The sequence below is a fragment of the Homo sapiens genome, chromosome X (genome assembly GCF_000001405.40).
Source record: "Homo sapiens chromosome X, GRCh38.p14 Primary Assembly".
In the NCBI taxonomy this organism is placed as follows: domain Eukaryota; kingdom Metazoa; phylum Chordata; class Mammalia; order Primates; family Hominidae; genus Homo; species Homo sapiens.
Window position 1 is genome coordinate 75,094,042 of NC_000023.11, and position 19,752 is coordinate 75,113,793.

The 19,752-nt window shown below is 35.6% G+C and overlaps 1 protein-coding gene across 5 annotated transcripts in view; it reads right to left on the reverse strand.

Annotated features, from left to right (window-relative positions):
- ABCB7 (ATP binding cassette subfamily B member 7) overlaps nucleotides 1–19,752 on the reverse strand; it is a 105,236-nt gene that overhangs the window by 42,994 nt on the left and 42,490 nt on the right. For 3 of the 5 annotated variants that reach the window (NM_001271698.3, NM_001271696.3, NM_004299.6), the window contains 2 exons: nucleotides 18,845–18,931; nucleotides 4,901–5,020 (listed from right to left, as the gene is read on the reverse strand). In NM_001271698.3, coding sequence (NP_001258627.1) covers nucleotides 4,901–5,020; nucleotides 18,845–18,931 — 207 coding nt within the window. The remainder of the gene's footprint in view (nucleotides 1–4,900; nucleotides 5,021–18,844; nucleotides 18,932–19,752) is intronic. The other 2 variants (NM_001271697.3, NM_001271699.3) reach the window with 1 other exon arrangement.

The window sequence follows — 19,752 nt, forward strand, 5'->3', positions numbered from 1 at the left end:
ATATATATATATCTATCTTATTATTTGTTAGTCACTCAATAAATACTTGCTCAATATATATATCACCTGTTATACTTTATATAACAGATGCATTTCTGAAGAAAAAGGGTGTTTATTTTTATAAATCACTCTCCCTTGAAATTATTATAATTGTAAAGATAGCTTATTTTTGCACTTGATACTTTAACTTCCTTTGCCCCCAGTTTTTCTGTCGACTAAGTGGTTTCCAAGATGGCAGTGGTTAGAGAATATGAATAAACATTTTTTGGTAATACTAAAGGTAACATACATTTTATAAAATCAAATGACTTCAATAAATATGTTTTACATTTTCCTTAAATCCTGGCATGGTTGTATGTAAAATACTAATAGAAAAGTTGAATTAGGTTGGCCGGGAGTGGTGGCTCATGCCTGTAATCCCAACACTCTGGGAGGCTGAGGCGGGCGGATCACCTGAGGTCAGGAGTTTGAGACCAGCCTGACCAATATGATAAAACCCCATCTCCACTAAAAATACAAAAATTAGACGGGCATGGTGGCATGCACCTGTAATCCCAGCTACTCAGGAGGCTGAGACAGGAGAATTGCTTGAACCCGGGAGGCGGAGTTTGCAGTGAGCAGAGATCATGCCACTGCACTCCAGCCTGGGCAACAAGAGTGAAACTCCATCTTAAAAAAACAAAAACCCCATAGAAGACCTCAAATTCCCCAGATTAATAATGATATGATACTCCTATGATATATGTATAGATGGTAAAAAAAATACATTACATATGATTTGTAGGGATTTAAGGAATGAATACAAATGGCACTTTGTTTTTGTCTCTCTTGGTAGTAGAACCGCTAAAATACATCTTATATAGAACCCAAACATATTAAAATAGAATTGCTGCAACTCTGCTAGAAGAAATACCAATCCCCTCTCTTAGTCTACTCTGGGCTCCAAATCATCTCTACATAATATCATTTGTCTTTAAAATTTTTGCTGGAGACAATGATAGCCTTAAGACCCTCAGAATCAAAAGAGCATTAAAAAGTAAATAAGCAAGCAGAAGGTATGCTATGTTCTCATACATTAGGCACAAAATCTTCCTCCTGTTTTCTTCTTCTTACTTGACAATCCTTTCTTTCTTCTTTCTCATCTATGTTTCGTGCCTAGTTATGATACCACTACAGCCATGCAGATGGCAGGGTGGCATTTAGAGCTGAGAAGATTCTTGAACACTGCACTAAAATCCCCAGAATATGTGGAGGAGGTAGGAAAGATCAGAATATAAAGAGGCCTAGATTGATCCGAGGTGTTTATATGCCAAAGCATATATTCAGGTTTGATGAAAAATAGGAAGCCAAGGATAAAAGGGGATAACAATCCATCTTTCACACCAATTATAAAACACACCTGCAATACTACTCAAGAATAAACAATGATCACTTTTTAAATATTTGCAAGAGCAAGCACTTTTAAACGGACACTCCGCAAAGCTGTGCAAATGCTTTTTGGAATGGTCAAATGCTACTACTATGTTCTACATGCTTAAAGTTATTCTATGATCTAGTTTCTGTTTTGTAAAAAGAAAATTGTTTTCTATATGCTTTGAAAGTACTAGCAGGCACTCATCATAACATCTGGCAATTTCTTCCTTCTCCTGATTCAAAAGAAATCAAACATTCTTTTTGAGGATTTTCTATATTCACTTCTGCTTATCTGCAATCAGTTTACATGAGTTTAGTATAGCATTTTCCATCTTATGGGCACTCAGTAGTTGTTGATTAAAGAATCAAATATTAACCTTCTAAAAATATTTTAGTCATTAAGGAAGTTAGTTTAGATCTAGATTTCATACCCTGATATTGACCTGTCACTAAGCAACAGAAATCTGTATTTTGAAGGACTGGAACTCACTCTAAAAATAAATTCTAATACAAATGCCATTACTTAAGACTCTCCACTTTGACTAGCTTAATTAGTCATGTTCTAACCTGTTCTCTTCAATTAAAAAGAAAGTCTAGAAAACAATCTGCCTTTAACTTGTCAGCAAAGTACTTGCATTCAACTAACAAAGGAGCATATGAGCTCAGAATCATATTTATCCTTAGGTAATTTGTATGTAAAAGACAATTCAGCAAACAATACTATGCTAAAAATGCACGAGGGTTAAAATTTTTCAACAATACGTACTAAAATTACATTTGTAATATTGTTCTCTCTGTTCAGCTTAAACAAATGTAACAAAAAATGCTTTCTTGACCTGTTGCACAGCATCTTGATTTAAGTAAGTACTCTTTCCCAAGAATGGGTGAGATCCCCGGGAGAGTACTCAACAGAGATTACAGATGAGAAAGGAGACATGAAAATGGAGTCTGATTGTGAATTATTTTGGCTTTTCTCTTAACTGTACAGTCACTCCTTCTCAGTTTCCTCTATTTACTTCCCTAGAGGAACACATTAATCAAAGGTACTGTCCCTAGTTGTCTTCTATTTCCTTCTATTTGTGTTCTTTTCCTTGGTGAACTCACTAATTTGCATTGTTTCAACTGTCATCTCAATCTCTCTAGACCTGGGCTCCTTCCTGAGCTTGTTTCACATTTTGTATTACCAGCTGAATATCTCTATCTGGGTGTTCTGCTAGTACCTAAAACTTAACATGTCCAAAACCAAGATCTTCATTTTCCCCAAACAAGACCTTCTGATTATACCCACTTTTGTTAAAGGCATTCTTATTCTCTCATCCTGGAATCCTACTTTTTTTTTTTTTAACTTCTAACAGTTGACCCATTGCTAAGTATTGTTGACTCTATCTCCCCTACTGCACAGTATCTCTTGTATTTTCCTCCATGTTGCAATTTCTACTACTATTTCAGTACAAATTGCTATTACTTCTTATCTAGACTATCATATGAGCCTTATAACTGGTCAGTAAACATTTGCTGAATGAATGTGTGAAATAAATGGTATCCCTACTTTAGGTCTATCACCACTTGAATTCATCTTTTACACATGGCCAGATTAATTTCCTAAAACACAGTTCTAACCTTATTACTCATCTATTCAAAATACAGGTTCCCACTTCCCACATAATTAAATACATTTTTCTGTCTCACAGTCACAATATTTCACATTTACGAGCTCTAATCTGTCTTTCCAAGCTTATTTCCGAATTCTCTGAAACATCTTCCCCTCGCTGGAACCAGGATAGACTACTCACTTCTGTACACATACTATGCTCTCTCACAACTAGGCCATTTTTCATGTTATTCCTACACCTGTAATAATCCTACTCATCAATCAAGGTCTATCTCAGATGTCATCTCCTCTGTGAAACCTTTCCTAACTCCCCATGATGGTGGTTCCTAACTTTCTTCTGAAACCCCACAACACCCGACTGGCACTTCTTTAAATCATTTATGACCTACCTTTTATTAGGGCAATAAAATAAAGCTTGCCTTATCCCATATGGTTTGAGGAAAGAAATTTGCTTTGTTCATATCTGAACACTCTGCAATGCCAAGAACAGTAGTGTGTATAAGTTCTCAATTAATATTTTTAGGGTAGGGAAAAGAATAAGCAAATAAAGGAGAGTATACATAATATAGGGAAAAAATAAGTGGTAAGAACTGGGTTCTAAAATAAAATCTTAATCCTTATATATAAGAGTGGTAGCCAAATCATAGCCAAACCTCCTTTATGCTCATTTTAAGCAAACACTTTTTACCATTATTTTTGGAAATCTAAATTTATTTATTTTTAATACTTGTATTTTACTACCTGCCAGGCACTGTTATAAGTCCTTTGTATGTTAACTTATTTAATCTTTATAGCAACCCTATTTTACAAATGGACAAACTGAGGCACACAGACTAAACAACTTGCTTAAGGTTACAAGGTGGCAAAGCCCAAGCAGTCTGATTTCAGAGACTTCATCATGACAATATAGTATACCTACAAACGTGTACTTCCCTGACTTTAAAATCTGAGTAAATTGGGGGCTGGGTGCGGTGGCTCATGCCTGTAATCCCAGCACTTTGGGAGGTCGAGGCGGGTGGATCACCTGGGGTCAGGAGTTAGAGACCAGCCTGGTCAACATGGTGAAACCCCATCTCTACTAAAAATACAAAAATTAGCTGGGCATGGTGGCGCACGCCTATAATCCCAGCTACTCGGGAGGCTGAGGCAGGAGAATTGCTTGAACCCGGGAGGCAGAGATTGCAGTGAGCCAAGATTGTGCCACTGTACTCCAGTCTGGGCAACAGAGTGAGACTCTGTATCAAAAAAAAAAAAAAGAAAAAAAAATCTGAGTAAATTTGAAACAAGGTTTTTATTTTCTTGAAAACTCGAGGTCATCATTATAACTTTGCCTTATATAGTACAATGACAAACTGAGAAGGCTGCTGAAATGCAGAGGGCTCCTATACTGAACGTACCAAAACAGTCAGGTTTTGTGGCTTTTGTTTTGTTTTGTTTTTTTAGCTTTTCTCTTGATATTAAGCTGTTGCTTATTACTTATGGCTATCAGTGTTCCTAAAATGGCTTCATCCTCTTTTCAATTTACTGGGATCTGGGAACCAAGCTTACCAAAAATATGTATTATTTCGGAGCCAAAGAGGCTCCGAAAAGCTTCTTTTACAAAGGTGCTTATGCTTTGTTACAATCAATGCTCCTATATCTCACAACGGTTTCAAGGAGTGAATTCCACTAATTCTGTGAGAAGTCTGATCCAGAGATAAACAGGACATTACCATATAATTTCTAATGACTGCATAAAATAATTATGTAAACTAAATGAGGGTCCTAAAAGTTGGTCATGCTACCCCAAAAGTGATTTACACCAGGCCCAGGATTCATAACTAGAAAATGTAGTATTTCTTAGTTAGAGCAACCAAACAATGCATAATTTCTTACCTTTGCACCACCCAAAAATCCCAGCGAAATGGCAACTCTAGCTCGTAGATCTGGCCTGTCTTTGGGCCACACATAAGAAAGCATTGCTTTTATGATTTTCCGAGTATCAACATCTTTTAACTATTGAAAGAGAGAAAACAAAGCAGTGAATAACATGTCATTTCAAACATAACCATAATTCAATAACGTAGAATTTATATATTTGAGAAATACATGAAAACATTACAAATATAACTTTTATTCTGAATCTAAGGCTAATATCTTTCAAAATCAAAATATTTTAGAGAAAAATTATTTCAATTACTTTAAAAAAGTTATTCATTTCTCTTAAATGTCTTACTTTCAATTTTAGCCACTCTCATATTGTTAAAAAAGTAATTTAGTGGTCATGAAGGGACATGTACTATACATTTATTTATTAAGCTACCAAAACACTACAGAAAATTCAAAAAAAATTTCCATATTTCCATTTTTGTAGTAGAAAATTTATATACATTTTGGCTATTTGTCAGTTTTTTATTTAAAACACTTTGGAGTCCCAAGTCTAAACTCATGGTAGAGCTGAGTTGCAATACTCCTTTTAGGAAAGCAGAGGGCTTGGTATTGACTATATCAAACAAAGTTGAGTTACTGAAAATTTCCTCACAAATGCAATTTTCCAATAATACTTAATCTGATCTAAATCCATCTCACATTTTTTTCTTTGTACCATGTTCCTGAGGCAACATTCCCATTAAATTCTTTTGCTTTACTTTCAGCTTTAAAGGCAGAATATTAAGAATAAAAACCACATTTTCTAATACCAAACTAAGTAGACCAATACATATATATTCTAAAACTACTACATTATTATGATTGGCAAAACAATCCCCATTTAAACATTAAAATCATAACTTGATTTCTGGAAAAGGTATTAAAAAGAATAAAACATACCCAAAAAACACTGAAAAAGAAAAAAGTAAAAAAAAAAAAAGATACTGCTTATTACTGCTGAGGGCATATGAAAATGAGCACTCTAATACACTGTTGATGGAGAATACACTGAAATAATCTTTCTGGAGAGCAATTTGCTATATATTACAAGCTTTTAAAATAATTTTGCCCTTTGTGTCAATAATTCTACTTCTGGGAATTTATGCTAAAAAAAAACCCTTATAAATATGCTCTAAGTTGAATCAATTTTATCTCCTAAAAATCTCTTGAATCTATTTCTTTCCATTTCTAACCATAAACCTCATCTGAGCTATCATCAATTATCGCGTAAACCACTGCAACAATCTCCTAACTGATCTCCCTGCATCTACTTTGTCCTTATCTAGTAAGTTCACCCTGCAATCAGATTTCCCTTCCAGCTTAAAACCCTTAAGCAGTATCCTATCATTCTTGGGATAAAAACTAAAATCTGTAACATGGCTTATAAGGCTCTGCTTGGTCTGGCCTCTGGATACCTCTCCAGTTATGTTTTATACCACTGCTTTCAGTGCTTAGGCCACACTGCCTTTCTTTTAGTTCCTTAAACATTCCATAATCCCTTCTGTCATGGGGACTTTACACAGTAATGTCTACTCTGTCTGGAATAATCTCTCTCTCTCTAACACCTTCCCCTGTGGCCCCTTCAACCTCTTTCAACTAGTTGACCAACAGCTCAAATAGCATTTCCTCAATAATGTCTTCCCCAGCCCATCAGGGTCCTTTGCCTTATTCTCGCACAGTACATTATTCCTTTCTTTCACAGTATCCATTTCAGTTATAAACTACATAAACAGCAGTACAATTATTTGATTAATATCCACTCTCCTGCACATTCCACATGAGTAATCACTCTAACAGTAGTGCTTACTGTTGTAACTCAAAGCCAAATACAGTGACTGACATACAATAGGTACCTAATGAGTATTTGTTGAATAAAGGAATGGAAATTTAGCTATAAGGTTGTTTATACCAATTCTGTTTTAATAGAAACAAAATTGGAAACAGCCTAAGTGATACATGTTGGAGAACAGTGTAAATAGAGTGAACACATACAACAAAATGCAGCCATTCAGATATGTATGTAGTGACAGAGGAATGTGTTAAATGAAAAAAGCAGAGTGAAAAAAATATTTTTGTGGGAAAAAATGTGATATATGTAGGAGTTTACACCAAAGTGTCAATAACAGTAGCTGTGAGTGGGTGGAATCATTGATACTTTTTTATGGCCTTTTGTTGTTGTTGTTGGCTAGCTTCTACTTTTTATAATTCACATATATTCAGCAGGGGTTAGGGAGGGAAGTTATATAATTTCGAGTAGATTTGCAAAGCAAGGAACGGGGGGAAATTGTCAACATATAATATAAAACTAACCTGTATTATATAAGGTACTGTCAAGGCCCAGGACAGTACCTTATATAATACAGGTTAGTTTCATATTATAGTTATCCCTCTAGGACTCAGCAAACTACTTTTCTAGTCTTTTAGGCAGTTTATCGCATAAAGAGTATTAGAAATAAAATTGTTCATATTGTAAAAACACAAGAGTTATCTTCCTGAACTGCTTTAAATACATAAGATGACAAAAATATGAAATGCTGAAAGTATAGTTCTTAATGTTTTATTTTATACACACACATATGCATGCTCTTATAACTGGTAAGACCTTTTAAGGCAGTAATTTTAAAATTCCCTTTCCCAATAGAACTATTATGAAATAAATATAATTTAAAGCATTATAACACAAACTAGGGCATTTCAACCACTTTCTCATTTCATGAGTTTTGTCTGTCTTACTTTTCTTGATGGAATAATGGAAAAAGGCCCTGCTTTCACGTATCTTTAGAAACACTCTCTTCTATCAAAACCTTCTACAACACATCCCAGAATTTTTTCAATAAGGACACAGTGAAGTTATGGCTAAGAGCAAGAAAATTATTCTAGTTGGCTTAATAGTGCATAAAATGTCACCACTTCATTTAACAAAATGGGTTCTGAAGTTATGTAATCATGCATTATGAGTCCATTAAGCTGTAAAGTACATGAATTCCATTAGTTTTGATAAACTATAAAGTTTGAAAAATAATGCATTTTTTTAACTGGAGACCAAACCAAAGAGGCATTTCAGAGTCCGAGGCACAGTTTTTATTGATTCATAATATTTTACATATTTATGGGGTACACGTGAGATTTTGTTGAATGTACAGAATATGTAATGATCAAATCGGAGTATTTGGGGTATCTATCTCCTTGAGTATTTATCATTTCTATGGGTTGGGAACATTTCAAGTTCTCTCTTCCAGGTACTTTGAAATACACGTTATTGCTAATTATAGTCACCCTGCTCTGCTATCAAACATTAAAACTTACACCTTTTATCTAACTGTAGGTTTGTACCCATTGACCAATCTCCCTCTATCCCCCACTCCTAACCACACACCCTTCCCAGGCTCTGATATCTATCACTCTATTCTCTACCTCTATAAGATCAACTTTCTTAGATAACATGTGATATTTGTCTTTCTGTGTCTGACTTATTTCACTTAACATACTAACCTCCAGTTCCATCCATGTCGCTGCAAATGACAGGATTTCACTTTTTTGTAGACTAAGAGTATTCCACATTTATATTATCGTATTTCCCACTGATGGACACTTAGATTGATTCCATATCAGCTATTGTGAAACGTACTGCAATCAACATACAACATGCAGGTATCCTTTTGATATACTGATTACCTTTCCTTTGGATAAATATCAGGTAGTGGGATGGCTGGATCATATGGTAGTTCTAGTTTTAGTTTTTTGAGAAATCTCCATACTGTTTTTCATAGTGGCTGTACTAATTTACAGTCCCACCAACAGTGTATAAGAGCTTCCTTTTCTCTGCATCCTCACCAATATCTGTTATTTTTTGTCTTTTTATTCATGGCCATTATAACTGAGGGAAGAGGATATCTCATGTGGTCTTGATTTGCATTTCCCTGGTGATTAGTGACGTTGAACATTTTTCCACATACTTGTTGGTCATCAATATGTCTTCTTTTGAGAAATGTCTTTTTAATTGATTTTTTTATTATTGAGTTGAATTCCTTGTATATTCTGAATATTAGTCTCTTGTTGGATGAATAGTTTGAAAATATTTTCTCCCATTTAACAGGTTGTCTCTTCACTCTGTTGTTCCTTTTGCTGTGTGGAAGCTTTTAAGCTTAATATAGTCCCAGCTGTCTATTTTTGGTTTTGTTATCTGCTTTTCAGGTCTTCACCACAAAATCTTTGCATAGACCAATGTCCTAAAGTATTTTCCCTATTTTTTCTTCCAGTAGTTTTACAGATTCAAGTCTTACATTTAAGTCTTTAATCCATCTTGAGTTGATTTTTGTACATGGTGAGAGACAGGGATTCAGTTTCATTCTTCTATATACGGACTCCAATTTTGCCAGCACAATTTATTAAGGAGAGTGTCCTTTTCCCATGTATGTTCTTGATGCCTTTGTCGAAAATCAGTTGGCTATAAATACATGGATTTATATTTGGACTCCCTATTCTGCTCTGTTGGTCTATGTATGTGTTTATACCAATACCATGCCATTTTTGTTACTATAGCGTTATAATATATTTTGAAGTCAGGTAGTGTGATGTCTCTAGCTTTGTTCTTTTTGCTCAGGATTGCTCTGGGTATATGGGCTCTTTTTTTGGTTCCATACAAATTTTGGAATTCTTTTTTCTATTTCTGTGAAAAATGATGTTATAACTATCCTTGTAGAGATCTTGCACCTCCTTGGTTAGATTTAATCCTGAGTAATTTTTTTGGTAGCTATTGTAAGTGGGATTGCCTTCTTCATTTTCTTCTTAGCGATTTCACCATTGGTGTATAGAAAGACTACTGATTTTTGTATGTTGATTTTGTGTCCTGTAACTTTACCAAATTTATTTATCAGATGTAAGAGTTTCATTGGTGTAGTCTTTAGTTTTTTTCTAGATATAAAATCATATCATCAACTAAGAGGGACAATCTGACTTCTTTCCCAATTTGGATGTCTTTTATTTGTTTCTCTTACCTGATGGCTCTGGTTAGGACTTCCAGTACCATGTTGAATACGAGTAGTGAAAATGGGCATCCCTGTCTTGTTACAGTTTTTTTTTTTTTTTTTTTTTTTTTTTTTTTTTTTTTTGTGGAAAGGCTTTCAACTCTTCCCTATTCGGTATGTTGTTAGCTGTGGGTAAGTCATATATGGCATTTATTATGTTGAGTTTTTCTATGCCTACTGTGCTGAAAGTTTTTATTATGAAGAGATTTTGAATTTTATCAAATGCTCTTCCTGTGTCTATTGACAAATAAAAGATTGATTCTTTGAAAAGATAAATAAAGCTGAAAGACCACTAGCTAGATTAACCAAGAACAAAATATAAGATTCAAATACGTGTAATCAGAAATGGAAAAGGAGACGTTACAACTGATACCACAGAAATACAAAATATCATCGGAGACTACTATGAGCACTTCTATGCATACAAACTAGAAAACCTAGAGGAAATATATAAATTTCTGGAAATGTACAACCTCCCAAGATTGAATGAGGAAAAAAACAGAAATACAGAACCCACCAACAATGAGTTCCAAAATTGAATCAGTAATAAAAAACCTCGAAACAAACAAACCCAAAAACCCCAGAACCAGGCAGATTCACAAATTCCATGAGACATATAAATAACTGGCACTAATCCTACTGAAACTGTTCCAAAACATTTCAGGAAGAGGGAATCCTCCGTAACTCATTCTACAAGGGCAGCATTACCCTAAAACCAAAACCAGGCAAGGAAACAACCCAAAACAAAACAAAAAACTACAGGCCAATATCCCTGATGAACACAGATGTAAAAATCCTCAACAAAGTATCAGTAAACCAAATCCAACAGCACAAGATAAAGATAACATACCATGATCAAGTGGGTTTTATTCCAGGGATGCAAGAATATATGCAAATCAATAAATGTGATTCACTACATAAACAGAATTAAAAACAAAAACCATATGATCATCTCAATAGATGCAGAAAAAGCATTCAATAAAATCCAGCATAAACCTTCAATAAACTAGACATAGAAAAAATACACCTCAAAATAATCAAAGCCACATATGGCAAACCCAGAGTCAACACCACACTGAATGGGGAAAACTTGAAAACACTCCTGAGAATGAGAATAGAACAAGGATGCCTGCTTTCAACCACTCCTATTCAACATCTTATTGGGAGTCCTAGCTACAGCAATCAGAGAAGAGAAATAAATAAAAAGCATCCAAACTGGAAAAGAGGAAGTCAAATTATCTCTTTTTGATCTTACACCTAGAAAACTCCTCCAAAATGGTCCTCCAAAAGGGTCCTAGATTTGATAAATAACTTCAGTAAAGTTCAGGATACAAAATCAATGTACAAAAATGAGCATTTCTATACATCAATAACAAGCAGAGAACCAATCAAGAGCTCAATCTCATTTACAATAACTACAAGAAAATAAAATATCTAGAAATACATTTAGCCCATGAGTTGAAAGATGTCTACAAGAAGAACTATAAAACACTGATGAAAGAAGTCATAGATGACACAAACAAATGGAAAAACAAACTCAAGGATTGAAAGAATCAATATGGTTAAAAAGACCATACTGTCCAAAGCAATTTACAGATTCAACACTATTCCTATCAAACTACTAATGTCATTTTTCACAGAATTAGAAAAAACTGTTCTAAAATTCATATTGAACCAAAAAAGAGGCAGAATACCCAAAGCAATCCTAAGCAAAAAGAATAAAGCAAGAGGTACCACATTATCTGACTTCAAATTATACTACAAGGCTACAATAACCAAAACAGCCTGTACTGGTATAAAAATACACACATAAATCAATCAGAAAGCAAGCCACATATGTACAACTAACAGATCTTTGACAAAGTTGACAAAAGTATATACTGGGGAAAGGACAATCTATTCAATAAATACTGCTGGGAAAATCAGATAGTCACATACAGAATAATGACACTGGACCCATATCTCTCACTAAAAACAAAAATTAACTAAGATCTAACTATAAAAAGCCTAGAAGAAAACCTAGAAAAAACTTTTCTAGACATTGGCCTAGGTAAAGAATTTATGACTAAGACTGCAAAAGCACAGATAACAAAAGTAAAAACAGACAAATGGGACTCAAATGAAAAAGATTCTATACAGCAAAATAAATAATTAACAGATTAAATAGAAAACTTACAGAATGGGAGAAAATATCTGCAAACTATGCACCCAATAAAGAACTAATATCCAGGATCTAAAAGGAACTCAAAGAACTCAACAAGAAAAAAACAAGTAACTCCATCAAGAAGCGAGCTAAAGACATGAACAGATAGTTTTCAAAAGAAGACATATAAGCAGCCAACAAACATATGAAAAAATGTTCAACATCAATAATCATCAAAGAAATCCAAACTAAAACCACAATGAGATTCCATCTTACACCAGTCAGAATGGCTATTATTAAATAATTAAAAAACAACAGATGTTGGTGAGGATGTAGTAATTAAAAAACAACAGATGTTGGTGAGGAGGTAGAGAAAAGGGAATGCTTATACACTGTTGGTGGTAATGGAAATTAGTACAACCGCTATGGAAAACAGTATGGAGATTTCTCAAAGAGCTAAAAATAAAACTACCATTCAATCCAGTGATCCTATTCCTGGGTATCTTCCTAAAGGGAAACAAATCATATAAAAAAGACACCTGCACTCATATGTTTACCACAGCACAATTCATACTAGCAAAGTAATGGAATCAACCTAAATGTCCATCAACAGATGAGTGAATAAAGAATATGTGGTATAGAGTATCATCAAGGGATGCAGAGCACGATGGTGGACTATAAGGCTCCACCAATCATCCCCCTTCCCTTCAAGGACACCAATTTAACAACTATCTACACAGAAAAAACACCTTCATAAGAATCAAAAATCAGGTGAGCCCTCATAGTACCCGATTTTAATGCCGTATTGCTGAGTCACTGAAGAGATAGAAAAAACAGTCCTAAATTGCTGACACCACCCCTCCCCGACACCGCAGAAGCAGTGGTGTGGTGTGGAGAGCATCTCTGGGTGCTGGAAGCGGGAGAGCACCGCAACTGTGAGGTGCTGAACTCAGTGCTGTCCTGTTAGAGCAGAAAGGAACACCAGAAACAGGACGAAACTCAGCTGATGCCCGTCGGCAGAGGAAGCATTTAAACCAGCCCTAGCCAGATGAGAGTAATCGATCCCATAAACCCTGCCCCTGCAGGCTAAAGTGCTTTGTGCTCTAAATAAGCTTGAAAGGCAGTCTAAGCCATAAAGACTGCAACTAACCGGTGAGCCCTAGTACCGAACTGGGCCCAGAGATGGTGGGCTGAGGGCGAGGGTCACACAACCTACTGAGACACCAGCTGGGGTGGCTAAGGGAGTGCTGGCATTGCTCTCCCCTCACCCCAGGTTGTACAGCCACTGCTCCCAAACAGATCCCTTCCTTCCACGTGAGGAGAGGGCAGAGTGGGGAGGACTTTGTCTTGCATCTTGGATATCAGCTAAGCAACAACAGGATAGGGCAACTGTCAGAGTCGTGAGGGCCCTATTCCAGGCCCTAGCTCCTGGACCCATTTCCAGACACGCCCTAGGCCACAAGGGAATCCACGGCCTTGAAGGGAAGGACCCAGTCCTACCAACACTCATCACCTGCTAACTGAAGAGCCCTTGGGCCCTGAATAACCAGAAGTGATACACAGTTACTACATCAAAGGTGAGCCTCTGAGAATTGCTGGCTTCAGGTGAGACTCGGTACATTGCCACCCGTGGTGGCTAGGTGCGAAGCTCCTTCTGCTTGAGAAAAGCAGGGGGGAAAGTGAAGGGAACTTTGTCTTGCACCTTAGGTACCAGCACAGCCACAGAGGGGTATAGCACCAAGCAGGCACTGGATGGTACCGGATTATAGGATTTGACTCTTGGACAGCATCTCTAGACCTGCCCTGGGCCAGAAGGGGGCCCACTGCCCTGAAGGGTGAGTCTCTGGCCAGGCAGCATTTACCACAAGCTGACTGAAGAGCCCTTGGGCCTTAAGGGGACATTGGGGGTAGTCTGGCAGTACTCCCCGTGACCTGTGGTGGCTGTGGCTACAGAGTGAGGCTCCTCTGATTTTGGCAAGGGGAGAGGAGTGGGAAGGACTGCATCCTGTGGTATGAGTGCCGGCTCAGCCTCAGTATAACAGAACACCTGGCAGACTTCTAAGGTTTTTGACCCTAGTTCCTGACTCACAGACAGCACCTCTGGACCCATGCAAGGCCTGGGGGAACTCGCCACCCAGAGAGGAGGAACGTGGGCCTGGCTGGCAAAGAATGTGGGCCTGGCTGGCTTTGCCACCTGCTGACTGCATAGTCCCAGGGACTTACCAAACATAGGCAGTAGCCAGGGAGTGGTTACAGCAGATCCTCGGTGAGAACCTGTTCCTCCTCTGCTATCAGAATATACAACATGCCTCAAATTTACAGCCCCATTGCAATGTAAAACTAGTACTCTATTAGTATGAGGAATTAAAGTTTTTAGAAAATCTCAACTATATATTGGAATTAGATAGTCATAGTTAAAGGAAGCAATTAGATCCAGAAAAAAAAAAAAAACCACAATGGTAACAAAGAAATAAATTCAGATAGAGTCACTAAGATCTTGGAATAGTAACAAAATTTTATTTACTTTTTTTTCAGAAATGACTTTAGAAGAAAAAGTTCGGAAATGACAGAGGGCTGAGAGAAGCTGAAAGCAACTGAAAACGAGGTGGCCCAAGAGAAAAAAATCAGAAGAAAAAGAAACTTGACTGATATCAGAAATACTCACTAAATACTTATTCCATTAATTAATTAATGTATCTATTTTCAAACACATGATGGGAAATTCTTATTAATATCCTAGAGGCAATACCTAATAATTAAATCACCACAACTTCTGACAGATTTTTAAATATTTACTTATTTGGTATTAACATACAGCTTCATAAGCTTCATGAGGCTGGACAGGTAAGAAATAATGAAAAGAACATCTATACAATGAAATAGCACAATCACAGTATGGTGGGTCAAAAACAAATACATAAATAAATAAGTACACAAATAAAACTGGAAGTACCAAACTCAGTAGGGTGTAACTGGAAAGCCACAAATTATACTTCTCATGAATTGACAGTGCTCAATTTGACAGTGTGATTTGAGGAAGAGAAGCACTGCCTCATGGCCAAATGTACTACAAGTGAACAGCTATACCTAATAACGATGTAGACAAGACCTGAGAATAAAAAACCAAAACAGCTGGAGCAGCTCATTTGGTAGAATTTTCAGATATTAAAGATAACTGTATATTAATAAATTGAATACACATTCTGTTTCTCAGGTAAGTAAGTTTCTATTTCTCGCCAGGAAAGGTCAAGCACTGAAGCAAGAGCCTATTTTTCTATCCGTTGCTTGTTCTTTTCAAGGGAGTGAAGCCCAGTGGCCCTTGATAAGAAAATGAAGAGTAAGAAAAAAAAAATGATCTTTTGATAAAGGTAGAAGAATCACCTTTTCCTTAGCCGATGAGGAATTTCTCTAAGAATTCTGGTTTTACAGACATTCCTAAATTCTAAAAGCAAGAAATGTAATACCTCATAGAATCAAGGGACTGATTTTGAAAGAAACTACTTGGGGACAAAACTTGTAGTGAGGAACTAAAAAACATAAAAAAAAATTGGAATGCTGTTTTGTAAAAATATGAGCTATAGGCTGAAGGTTTTCTCCCTAAAGAACCAATCTAGAAGAAAATTTGGAAGTGTCCATAATTTCAGGGATAAGCAAACTATCCAGAGAAAAGAACTGTCTCCTCAACCCAACAACTGCAATAAAAGGAAGAAACCACTTCAGTACTATTAAAGATAACAATGGATTTATAAAAAGAAGGTCAAAAACTAGCGAGTTCAGTCGATGTCTAAAAAATCCAGAGTATAACTGGAAAATTTTTATTGTGTTGTTGGAGAGATACATATAGTGAATTTGGGATAAGAGAAGAAAATATGTATGAGTTGTCAGGAAAGGCTTTACAATTTTTGTTACATTATACTTCAGGGTTTGTTTTCCGAGCTTTGTTGGTCTGAAAGTTCAATGAAGAACTTATTCGGTGGTGATTAGACCCTTTCCTTAAATGGATTATGCTACATATAAGATGGATTTGTATTTTACAGTCCATTTAATAATTTACAATAAAAAGAACTACCCGCCAGACTGATATTCAAGTTGGCCAGTCAATGAATTTTCTATCCCAAAGGAAAGACAATTTTAGAAATCAAATGAAGATCATAAGGCTATTTGATTATGTATGAAATCAGAGCTGGAATACAGCCTCACCATGTCATCCAGGTATGCTTGCCCACTGGTCTAATGTGTCCACTCATTTTAACAAACCTCTTCCCAATCTTCCAATTTTTAATCCTCCAAGTTACTCCAAGTTTTAATACCAATTTTTAATATTCCAAGTTACTGTTTCACTTCTTCTGATTACATCAAGCTCTCCAATTGCTTAAGTAAGTGAAAATTTCTCTTTAAAAACTACTAGCTTCTGACTGTGTCCAATCAATAAGAATGTGTTTCTAACATAAAAAAGAGTATGTCAAGCAAAATCTCAGAAAGAATCCTTTCATTAGGGTCTTCATTATTTGTGTCCTTATTAAGATACATGGCTAACTAAATTTACTAGCAGATGCCTCTTCAAAGCAGCATATAAATAAAAATTTAAATGCAGGAATAAAGCTCCAAAATCCTTTAAAAATCTGGGGATTCTATTATAAAACAATTCCTTAATTCATCTACTTTAAAAACTGGAGTTTTCAAATACTGAAATTGCCACTCCTTTTTCACAAACCCTTTATGATCCCATGCTATATAAATGGATGATTTAAATAAATTCCAAGCAGCATTATTAATACTGATTGTTAGCTGTTAAGAACACACACATGTAAATGAATAAAAAGGGAAGCAAAGCTGGGTTTGGTGGTGCACACTTGTAGTCCCAGCTACTCTGGGAGCCTAAGGTGGGAGAATCGCTTGGGCCCAGGAGTTCGAGAGCAGCTTGGGCAACACAGAGAGATCCCTTCTCTATAAACAAGCACACAAAAAGTAAAGCACTACAGATTTCAGTTGGTTATAAGGTAAAATCTATTATTTGTCACAGTGATAAAACTTCTACATGGCAGTTTACATATTCTGCCATGTTGTTAAGTTTCTAGACAGCAGAGATTTTGTCTTGCATATCTCCAGTACTTAACACAGAGTTTAGCACAAAGAAGGTATTCAATATATACTTTTTAAATAAATGGATTATGGTAGAGGACAGGCCTTACAATCTCACATTATAACAACAGCAGCTAAAATTTATTGAGCACTTACTATGTGTCAAGCACTATTTAAGAGCTTTAACATGGTGTGAGGAGTTAACTCATTTAAATCCCCTTCAAAATTATCATCTCCATTTTACAGATGAAGAAACTGAAGTACACAGAGATTAAGTAACTAGCTCAAGGTCATTCTACTAGCAAGTGATGGAGCCACAATTCAAATCCAGGCAGTCTGGCTCCAGAGCTCAAGCTCTTAACTACAACTCCACACTATTTTCTGACATGGTCTCCAATCTATATGATTCTATGATTCCAATTCGATAAAAAGGCTAAACTAATACAAAGATGGCAAGGGAAAACAAACAAAGGGCTACAGACTAACTATAAAGTATTACGATGAGTGTTGCTTTATTTTACTGGAGCAGAAAGAAACTGTCTTGAAGTTTATACTGCTTGAGCCTAAAAGAAGTAGCTGCTTCTCCTTTATTAAGTCAACATGTTTTTGGTTGTGTTTAGATTATTAGCAACTATCCTTAAGAGGCCTTGGTGACAGATGATCCTGAAAACTGGCAAATATCATACCAAAGACTAATGCAAAGACAAACAAATCTCACTATTTGGGTTAATATTTTAAAATTTATTTTATGATACTTTGCAGTTTTAAAAATCAGCTATGAAGGATAATGTACAAAAATGGGACAGAAACATGAATGTGAAGTGTTTTGAGTTCCTTGAAAGAACTGTACTAGGAATCAAAGAATGGAAAAAAGCACTGAAAACTGTTTCCTGCCAATCACTTTCTATGAATAAAATAATTAACATTTACTTCTCTCTTTGCAATTTAAAGAGTACTTTTACATAAAATTTGTTCACTTGACCACCAACCCTGAAAATATCATTTCTACTTAGAAATAACATGTATATACTGATTGGGTCAAGCCAGAGGAAGAAAATAAAGGCAAGCTCAGAGAAAAAGGGCCAGATGTAATACTGTATAACAGTATTCCAATGACATTTTTCACTTACTGAGAAAAAATATATAGTGCAAGTCTTTCTATTTCAACAGCCCTACTGCTTAGCATGTCTGTATAATGATAATAATAACGATAAAGAATGTGGATAACTAGGTGGATCAGGTAGATAGAGGATTTACCATGAAGCTAGGGGATATTCTAGGATTTCTCTAAGTGTATAGAAGGGGAAACATTAACCTTGAAGCACACGCACACACACAAATTGTTTTTTAGGTGCTAAATCTAATTTGCTTACTTATTATAAGGCTAAATTACATAACAACCTCAAATGATGCTATTTTAAAGAACTAAAACATTTAGGTGGATAAATAACTTTTCTTTTTTAGTCAATCATAAATCTTTAAGTCCGAGAAAATATCATCTATAAACTATGGTCAATTAATATGTTTTTTTTTTCATTAGAGAACATGCAGTTAGATGAGTCAATCAAAATATTCTAGGATATTATAATCTTAAATACATATATCTTCTGTGCAAGGACAATCATCAAGAATTTCCAGTTACTTGTTACTGGCTCTTACCCCTTCTTTTGGGTCTGTGTGGAGTCCTCCTCCTGCATGACCATGCCAACATGTCCTCTTTTCTATCAGTGGCCATACCTGGAGAGCCTAATTGAAGATGATACCAAGCAGTCCGTTAGCTATTACAGAATTTCAGATGTTTCACAATTTGGCTTGAACAGTCTAATCTAATGAACGTTTCCAAAACAAATTCACAGGTATAGTATTTAGTCTGGCATAGTAAAGCAAAACACCTCCACAATTAACTTATAGCTAAATTTATGTTAAAAATATTAAGATACAACAAACTCATACTGAAGTCACTATCTCTAAATAGCTTTTGAAACTCACGTTTAAAGGATTTAACCTGTTTTACACTTCTACTTGACTTATACTGGCTTTCCCAGTGTCATTCACTACTATAGTGCCGATAATCTCTTATTCCATTATTGGCAAGCAAGTATAATATGCAGTTAATTTATATCTCACTTGCTTTCCTTGTGTATACATTTCTTTTTTATAGTTAACACAGTTAATTTTAAACAACTGATTCTTTTTCTTGTTGTACTTGCTCATATATACATTTAGAAACAAGGTATTTTTTAATATCTCATAGTCTGTCTTATGCCTATATTGTAGTCATTTGCATACACTGTTTTGCCTTTCTTATTACACGATAAATTTCTAAAGATCAGAGACAGTGTCTTTTATCTTTGTATCTCCCATGGAACATACCACAGTATCTTACACACGGGCAAGGTAAGTTTCAATACTTGTTGGATTAGATGATTTTTCAGTAGCTATAATAATCAATAATTAATGAACAAGGGCACAGTTCTTTACAAACACAAATGCGTATCAATATCATACATAGCATAGCAATATCAGCTCTGGGCCAAGCTATGAAAATGGAGTTACAAAAAGCAAAA